Consider the following 9,540-nt stretch of genomic DNA (forward strand, 5'->3'; position numbering starts at 1 on the left):
AAAAAAAAAAGAAAACCAGCTAGACTGCAGATTTTAATTAATTCAGCCATGAATCAGGAAAGGCAAGAAGTGAAGTATGGACATCATTTAAAAGATAAAAGTCTTAAGGTTTATAGGGTTTGCATCCATCACAAAGCTCACTTCCATGAGTTCCCACCACAAGTAAAATGCCGCTGTTCCATTTTGCTTTCTGCAAGTCATTATTGACAAAGGAAACTACTCAGTGACACCAAACAGACCTGTATTTGCTGAGTAACCTGACTCTTCTGGCACAAAATTATCTGTGAATGTGACATGATCTTCACTACCTCAATCTGAAAACTTCTGGTGTCTTTTAAGCAAGGAATATTCCTAGGAGAATTCTGTACTCACTGAAATGCTCTATTTGCTCTCATTAAATAATGAATTTGTTGGCTCTTGAGCAGAAAAAAGAAGGTTAATAGTTGTATTACTCATTTCCTTGAAAACTTCTTTTGATTAAAAAAAAGTGAAATAAAATATCCCACAGGAAGATTAGATTTTATTTATTGATGTGTTGTAATAGCTGCTGGAGAACGCAATCAGAGTTAACATGTTTAATATTTTTAGAGGAATGGGGAGGGTGGGGATAGAAACTTTAAAAAATTAAATTTCTGGGACTGCCAATGTACAAATCAACCGTATTTGAAAGTTTCTATTTGAAGTAATCGAAGTCAAGTAATTAGTGCTACATTTTCAGTTTTAAATCACTTCACTCTTAAAAGTACTTAATGACACGTAAATAGTGAAGTTCTTAGAACCCTGGTTTGAACATGGGCCCTGGAGTCAGGCTACCCTGTCTGGAAGCCAATTCTGCCTCTTTCTAAGGGACCTTAGCCAAAGCTAATTAATTTATCTATGACTCAGTTTCCTCACCTGTAAAATGAGAGAAGGTATAATAGTTGTTCCTACCTCAGAGGTTTTTTATATGCTGAAATATAAACTTGGATCAGCTGCAAGCACATACCACTCATAAAACATTGTTACTCTTATTACTGGTTGGTTATCTAAACCAGGGGAAAATAAATTGTAGCCCCTGGTCTGGATGTAGCTTAATGCCTGTTTTTTCGTTTTGTTTTGTTTTTGGTTTTTTTTGTCTATAAATTTTATTGAAACACAGCCACACCCATGTTGACAATGTCTGCTTTTAGTCAATGGTTGAGGTGAGTAGATCCAAGGGGATATTATGGCCTAAAAAAATACTGTTTGACATTTACAAAGAAAGTTTGCTAATCCTGGAACTCTGTGGAGGTTGACATTGGGTCCCTCTTAATGAAGCTTCAGAGATACTGCCATTAGTCCAAACAATCCAAAGGGGATGCTAGAAAGGAAGAAACCTAAATGAATGCAAAGTGCTTAAGATCAGAGTACTCTGAAGAATGTATTAGCATAAAGTACTAAATGTGTAATTTTTATAGTCTCTATTATTCAATGACTTTCAGTTTCATCTAAGAACCTCCTTGCATTCAATCAAGGGTGTAACACTCTGGGAAATTCAGAATTTCTTGGATAATACACATTTTGTCCTTAGCCATGTGAATTTCCTCATGGACTTCTTTCTGACCTGAATGATCTTCTCACTTACCTATATGTTGCATAGTCAACAGGCACAAGAACCAGGATTAAAACTCACAAAACTCTTTAACTTGTTAAAGTGTGCCCTGGGCTGACAGACAAAATGAACTACCCATGGCTAACTGAGGTGCTAAAAATGAAAACAGAACCAGGTGGCTACAGCTGGATGAGGGAGCGTTTACATACTTTTCATTATCAGGAAGATGTAGAGGTGTCACAGGACCTCCCTGTCTACAATCAAGCCAAAGCAGTTTCTATTGTCAATGCCAAGATTAACTGTGTCCCGAACCATACCCCTCTCTCCCACCACTGGCTGTTTGAAAGAAACATCTGACAGAAACTTCTGATTTGGGGCATAGAGACTACCCAATTAGGGCTCAACTATTTTGACCAATCACAACTGAACAAGTTTGAAATTTTCATTTGCATAAACAGATCTGCTTGAGAAACTGGATGAGAACTTTCCCTGTTTAAGCCAGCTCCTCCCTTTGTTCTTCAGAGCACAATTTTACTTGTATTGAAGTCTGTGCCTCCCTAATCTAGAGACTGTTTTTTATAGAAAATAAGGCTCTCCCTTTTTTCCTCTGCAAATCTCAAGGTCTTGGTGATGAGGATGGAATCTGAAGTGACCCCTGTGCTTTTCCCAACACTATCTGGCCCAAGGCATTAGTGCCCACAAGAGCCGTTTGAACTATTATATTCCTGGCTGTGCTGGGAAGGACTTGGGCATAAAATAAAAGTAAAAACCCAAGCCCCCACACCAAGTGAATAGCCCCTCTCTTGACCGTGGAGACCTCAGATAAATTGTAAAAGCTGAGTTTCCAGCCATGACAGAATAAGAGCTCAGGCATGCCTCATTATCCTCCCTCCCTTTTGCAGTTTAGACATAAAAACTGACTGGCATTAATGTTAAAATAGAGCTCTTAAGACTGACAGAATGGACTCTTTAAGGCAATGAAATACCAAACTATAAAGAAGAACTAAGGTCATGCCAGGCAAGGGTTAAGTCACACACCCCGACACTTAAAGAATAAACTATGCTCTCACTGCCACAAGGTTTTTCTTTTTTCCTAGCAGCTAAACAAGGACTGGTCTTGGGATAAACAATAGCGAAACAGTTGTAGCTCACCAACCATTAGACACTGACTAACAGATGCTCCACTTCCCTATTCTATTAGCCGTAACTACAGCTTTGGTTGGACAAGAGACCGATTTCAGTAACTCTCTCCTGATAAAAAGACCACTCACTATGGGCTGGTTCTGGCTAGTTTGTAGACGCTGAGAACTTGAGTGCATTTGTGTCCTGAAATGACATATTTACATATATTTTTATGTATAGGGCCTAATTGTAATACATTTAAATGTTAAGCCCCTGCTCCCAAATGAACATAGGTCATATATCATATGTATGTTTGTTCAATACTCATGTGTCAGGACATATCTCATCCTATAATCAGTTGAGTATGTATACTTGGCCAGCCCATTTAGCCTAAATCCCTTCCCAAACCCCTCCCTTTTCAAAGTGACTATTTCCAGGTCTCTACTGGAAGCTGCACTTCCTAGACTATCAGGCTAGCCACACTGCAAGCCACACTTTATTTACAAGAAATAAAGTCTCCTTTTCTAAGCTTATAATTCTTGTGATTTTTAAGTTAACATGGGTAAGCCCTCTTAGATCCAAGATTGCTCATTTTTAGGACAGTGTCTCAGACACTATTTCCTCCAGGAAGCCTGCCCATCTGGCTCCAGGGAGTACGCATTTGTGGAGTATGCTCGCACTTTATGATGTATGCTTGCACTTTGCGGGTTACTCTCATGCTTCATGGGATATGCCCACACTTCAGTTTTGCAGGAACACTCACACTTTAGTTGCACTTGAAGAAATGCCTTCATAAAGTGAATAATATGGGTAACCTAGGTCCTAAGGGAAAGGTCTCTGACCAGCCACCATCAGATATTCCAGCAGCTTGATCTCCAACCAACCAACAACATCTGGTACTCCAGGGGTATTTCAAATTTAAAATGTAAAGATTAAGGCTAGATAAAAATGATCCAAGAGATGCATCTAAATTGAACTATCAATACATGCAATTAAAACAAAGAGGAGTCTGGATTTTTCAAAGATAGAGGCTTTCTTTTAATTAGGACTTTTAAAAAAATATATTTTATTTTTTATTATCATGGGCTCATAATTATTATAAATATATATGAGGTACATGTGATGATATTTTGATACAGGCATACAATGTGTAATAATCAAATCAGGGTAATTGGGTTATCCATTACCTTAAACATTTATCATTCCTTTGGGTTACAAACATTCCAATTCTATTTAGTTGTTTTAAAATATAACAAGTAATTAGCTATAGCCATCCTATCATGCTACTGAATACTAGATCTTATTCTATCTAACTGTATTTTTATACCCATAACCATCCCTACTTTATTCTCCCCTCCCCACTACCCTTCTTAGTGTCTGCTAAACATCATTCTACTCACTAGCTCTATCAGTTCAATTTTTAGTTTTCTTTAGCTCCCATGTATGAGTGAGAACAGGCGATAATTGTCTTTCTGTGCCTGGCTTATTTCACTTAACATAATGTCCTCCAGTTCTATCCATATTGTTGCAAATGACAGGATTTCATTTGTTTTTTTTTTATAGCTGAATAATATTCCATTGTGTATAAGTGCACATTTTCTTTATCCATTCATCTTTGATGGACACTTAGGTTGATTGCATAGCTGGCTATTTTTTCTTTTTTTTATTTTTATTTTTTTTTATTATTATTACACTTTAAGTTTTAGGGTACATGTGCACAATGTGCAGGTTAGTTACATATGTATACATGTGCCGTGCTGGTGTGCTGCACCCATTAACTCGTCATTTAGCATTAGGTATATCTCTTAATGCTATCCCTCCCCCATCCCCCCACCCCACAACAGTCCCCAGAGTGTGATGTTCCCCTTCCTGTGTCCATGTGTTCTCATTGTTCAATTCCCATCTATGAGTGAGAACATGCGGTGTTTGGTTTTTTGTCCTTGTGATAGTTTACTGAGAATGATGATTTCCAATTTCATCCATGTCCCTACAAAGGACGTGAACTCATCATTTTTAATGGCTGCATAGTATTCCATGGTGTATATGTGCCACATTTTCTTAATCCAGTCTATTGTTGTTGGACATTTGGGTTGGTTCCAAGTCTTTGCTATTGTGAATAGTGCCTCAATAAACATACGTGTGCATGTGTCTTTATAGCAGCATGATTTATAATCCTTTGGGTATATACCCAGTAATGGGATGGCTGGGTCAAATGGTATTTCTAGTTCTAGATCCCTGAGGAATCGCCACACTGACTTCCACAATGGTTGAACTAGTTTACAGTCCCACCAACAGTGTAAAAGTGTTCCTATTTCTCCACATCCTCTCCAGCACCTGTTGCTTCCTGACTTTTTAATGATCGCCATTCTAACTGGTGTGAGATGGTATCTCATTGTGGTTTTGATTTGCATTTCTCTGATAGCCATAGCTGGCTATTTTGAATAATGCTGCAATGAACATGGGAGTGCATATATCCTTTTGATATACCGATTTTCTTTCTTTCGGATATATATGCAGCAGTGGAATTCCTGGATCATATGGTAGTTATGTTTTCAGGTTTTTCTAAGGATCTCCCATACTGTCCCATAGTGATTGTACTAATTTACATTGCCACCAGCAGTGTACAAAGGTTCCCCTTTCTCCACATTCTCACCAACATTCATTATTGCTCTCTTTTGTACAAAAGCCATTTTAACTGGGATCAGATAACAACTCTGTAGTTTTGATTTGCATCTCTCTGATGATTAGGGATGTTGAACATTATTTTGTATAACTGTTGGCCACTTCTTTTAGGAAATGTCTATTCAAATTTTTGCCTATTTTTAATTATATTATTTGTTTTTTTTTTTTACTGTAGAGTCGTTTGAAGTCCTTATATATTCAGGTCATTAATCCTTTGTTAGTGGGTAGTTTGCAAATATTTTCTCCAATTCTGTGAGTTAGCTTTTCATTTTGTTTATTGTTTCCTTTACCGGACAGAAGATTTTTAGCTTTATGTGATCTCATATGTCCATTTTTGCATTGGCTGCCAGAGTTTTGAGGATTTATTCCAAAAATCTTTGCCTAGAACAATGTCCTAGTGTGTTTTATCAGTGTTTTCTTCTAGTAGCTTCATAGCTTCAGATATTAGATTAAGTTTTAAAGACATTTCTATTTGATTATGTAAATGGTGAGGGATTGGGTTCTAATTTTATCCTTCTGCATATGGATATCCAGTTTTCCTAGTAACATTTATTGAAGAGACTGTCCTTTCCTCAATGTTTGTTCTTGGTCTCTTTGTCAAAGATGAGTTGACTGTAAATGCATGGATTTATTTCTGGGTGCTTTATTCTGTTCTTTTAGTCTGTGTGTTTTTATGCCAGCACCATACTGTTTTGGTTACTATAGCTTCATAGTATTATTTGAAGTAATGTGATTCTCCAGTTTTGTTGTTTATGCTCAGCATGTCTTTCGGTATTCTGGCTCTTTTGTGGTTTCATATAAATTTTAGAATTATGTTTTCTATTTCTCTGAAGGATGTCATTGGTATTCTGAGAGAGATTGCATTGAATCTACAGATTACTTTGGGTAGTATGGACATTTTAATAATTATTATTCTTCCAATCTATGAATATTAAATATCTTTCCTTTTGTGTTCTTTTTTTAAACTTGTGAAGTGTTTTTAATAGCAGGTGTTTTCTATAGTATGTTGCTGGAAATCAAGAGGTTTATTAGCATGATACATGTTCAGAAATGAGTTAGACACTTGAAAAGTCTAAACACACTGATTTAGGAGTGCATATGTTGCAATCTCAAGAGGGCTTAATAGGCCATATGGACTGAGTTAATGCTTGCCTCCGGGTAGCAGGTATGCTTGTAAATATAAAATAGTATTAGACATTAGCACCAGTGCAGAACATGCTCAGCATCATAAGATCCAAAACACCAGCACAAGTTTATCCATCATTAAAAAAACAATTACCTCCTTCCTAAAATGTCAGAATAGTAGGTAACAGATTAATAAATTCAATCCAAATGAATAACTCTTGTACATACAATTTCTCTTTTAGAAGTATATGTGAGAACCAATTGGCTAAATAGACATGTTTAACATTGAAGATCTCCAATATTTTTTAAACTGGACATTGCCATACACAGGGGGAACATGACTGAAAATAAAGTGACAAAAGATTCTTAAAACTTTTTTAAAATTCCTTCCCTGTTTATCAATAAATATGGCAAAATAATAAAAGAAAATCCTAGAAAGCCTGTTTTATTCATCATTCTTTCTATGTATGTTTTAATAAGTGGTGATGCTCCCATTGAAGGAATCCATTATTAACCTAATTTTCTAATGGAGGAAGAGAGAAAAGATAATTATCACTTTCTGTGGAATAAATACTCATCAACTTCGAACTAAATAATAGCAATCTAGGAAATTCAGAAACAGCAAAGATTTTTGGTTTATATTTCATGGATGGTGCTGCTGTTCCAGCCTTATAAAGTAAAGCTGTCAGCTTTCCAAATTCCAAAAATTAAAATACTATCCCATTTCACCATACTAGCTAGTGCCCGTTGGGTCTGTTTAGAACAAGGAAGGGTTACAGAGTTGTCAGTTATGCATGTACTCTTTTGATTTCACGTCCCTTCACACACAGAAATCATACCAAATGGCAAGACACTGCTTTTGCATAACAATTTATTACACATTAGCCAAATCAACTTATTTCACCTACCCAGTGTGAGGGGGCAAAAAAACCTTACCTACAAAACTACTTGACTTGACAGGATGTGTTTATTAATAAGTAGCTTAAACAACTTTCACCAATAAGGTGAGTAACTTGGCTTTTTAAATGGGAAAGTCACATATTTAAAAAGTAAACATAGTTGAAATGGTAAATCAGTTATAATTTGAACCTAATGAACCATGCAAGCAGCAAGGGTTAATAAACCAATGTGCTTTAAATTTGTTCAAGTACTGATATTTCTGTATACAAAGATTTAGCATATATATTCAACAGCCATCATGAGAAGTAAAAAAAGATTTTTTCCCAAAATGAAAATATTAAAACTAAATTAAAATACACATAGTTTTTCACACAAGATAAAATTTGACAAGTGAAAGTTTAACACGTCCCAGTTGACCACATGTGAAAATGCAAAGCAGGTATTAAAACTGGTATGTCCAAGATTTAAAACCAGTTTGTAATTGGGGGATCATCTAAATACTTAATTAAAAAACACAAATGAACTGAAAGCTTTAAACTGGTACACACTGTTCACATCTATATTTCAAATTTAGAAATGCATATTTGCATGCAGCAATAAAAAAGTATTCATGAAGAACGCATCATCTCTGAAAATTATGAAAACATCCCTGCTACCAATATATTTCTAAATACAAAATTGACTACCACATTTGTTTCTTCTGTGTAGCAAGAGGAGTTCATTTTTACAACTGATAAAATTCAGTCTTTAGGTGTGAATGGCATGAATGACAGTCTTTTTAAAAAAATTTCTTAGTCATTTGGAATCCTTAAGCATGCAAAAACTTTGAACAGAAAGGTTCACAGACGAACCAGGGTTGTCTCATGGTATCCAGCTAAGCCAGAGCTGGGAATGCCTCTGGGTCATCCGCATGAGGAGCAGAAGCACTTTACTTGTCAGTCCTGCTGCCACAGTTCAGACGTCTGCCACACCCACGTCTACCTTGTCCTCCCTCGCCATCATGTTCTGGGCAGCCAAGTTCTCCAAAATTAATCTTCAACTGAGACATTACATCATTTGCTGGCTTCTGGAAAAGATGGTCCATAACAGAGTCTGCAGCATGAGCCTCTTCACTCTGATTTATGAAAAACATATTTCATCTTCCACTGCCCTTCAGCAGCTTCATTTGGTTTTCAGATATTAAATTCCACTTTGCCCACTCCATATTTTCAATAGCCTTCAACTCATCCAAAATCATCTCTTTAGGACCCTCTTTCTTTACCTCTTCAACTTCACTCTCCTTATTTTCAGTGTCTGCCACTGGATGTTCTTCACCTACAGATGTTGCCTCAGTCACATTTGATCATTCCAAATCTGTTAATTCATCTTTAACAGTTCCCCAGTAGTGAGGTCTATTACCTCCATGTTTGTCCTTGTGCTTCAGGACAGATCTATCACTTCCACTATGCCTATAAAATTCACATTTGCCATGGGAATCGAATCCATCTCCTCAGCCCATTCCATGTCTGCAGCCCCCTCAACTTCTTCTAAGACCACCACGGCCTCGAATAGGTCAGTCAATAATCAGTCTATCAACTGAAAATTTGCCTCCACCCTTTTCTTCAAGTGGCTTTTCAAATCTTTGTTCTAGAGGTGATCGTCTCTCTGGTCTTCTATTATTTTTCCTTCAACCTGAAGTTGTTGATCAGGTCTTCTACCAACTCACCTTATTCCTTCTTTCTTAAGCACGATGAGCACCTGTGTCTCCTCTTTCTTGTCAACCATGCCAATGCTGGGGTGCAGTGGTTTCTTGTGGTCTTTCTGGGACTCTATACACAACTGTTTGCCTGCCATGTTGGAGGGCCTGAGCTGTGCTCTTGGCCCCAGGGCCCCCAGTGTCACCCCCGCTGCCATTTATTTTTTTGTTCTCCCCTGCCTTCAGCACCTCAAAGAGGTCCACTTCATCATCAAACAACTGGTCAAACTGGTTGGTGACCATGCAGCCAAAGCCTGCCTGTAAGTGTCCAGGCATCATGGTGGCTCAGCGACATATTCCTCCATGGGTTGCAACAGGCTATGCCAAGCCAAGATCTCCTGCTTCAGCTCTTCCTACAAGATCCATTTTTTATGTTCCCTCCAATTTTTTAACTCAGTGTTTTATG

At 37.2% G+C, this 9,540-nt stretch overlaps 1 pseudogene; it reads right to left on the reverse strand.

Annotated features, from left to right (window-relative positions):
• On the reverse strand, nucleotides 6,342–8,942 carry LOC553139 (PAI-1 mRNA binding protein pseudogene; annotated as a pseudogene).
• Nucleotides 8,943–9,540: the final 598 nt, after the last annotated feature.

Source organism: Homo sapiens, chromosome 1, assembly GCF_000001405.40.
Source record: "Homo sapiens chromosome 1, GRCh38.p14 Primary Assembly".
In the NCBI taxonomy this organism is placed as follows: Eukaryota; Metazoa; Chordata; class Mammalia; order Primates; family Hominidae; genus Homo; species Homo sapiens.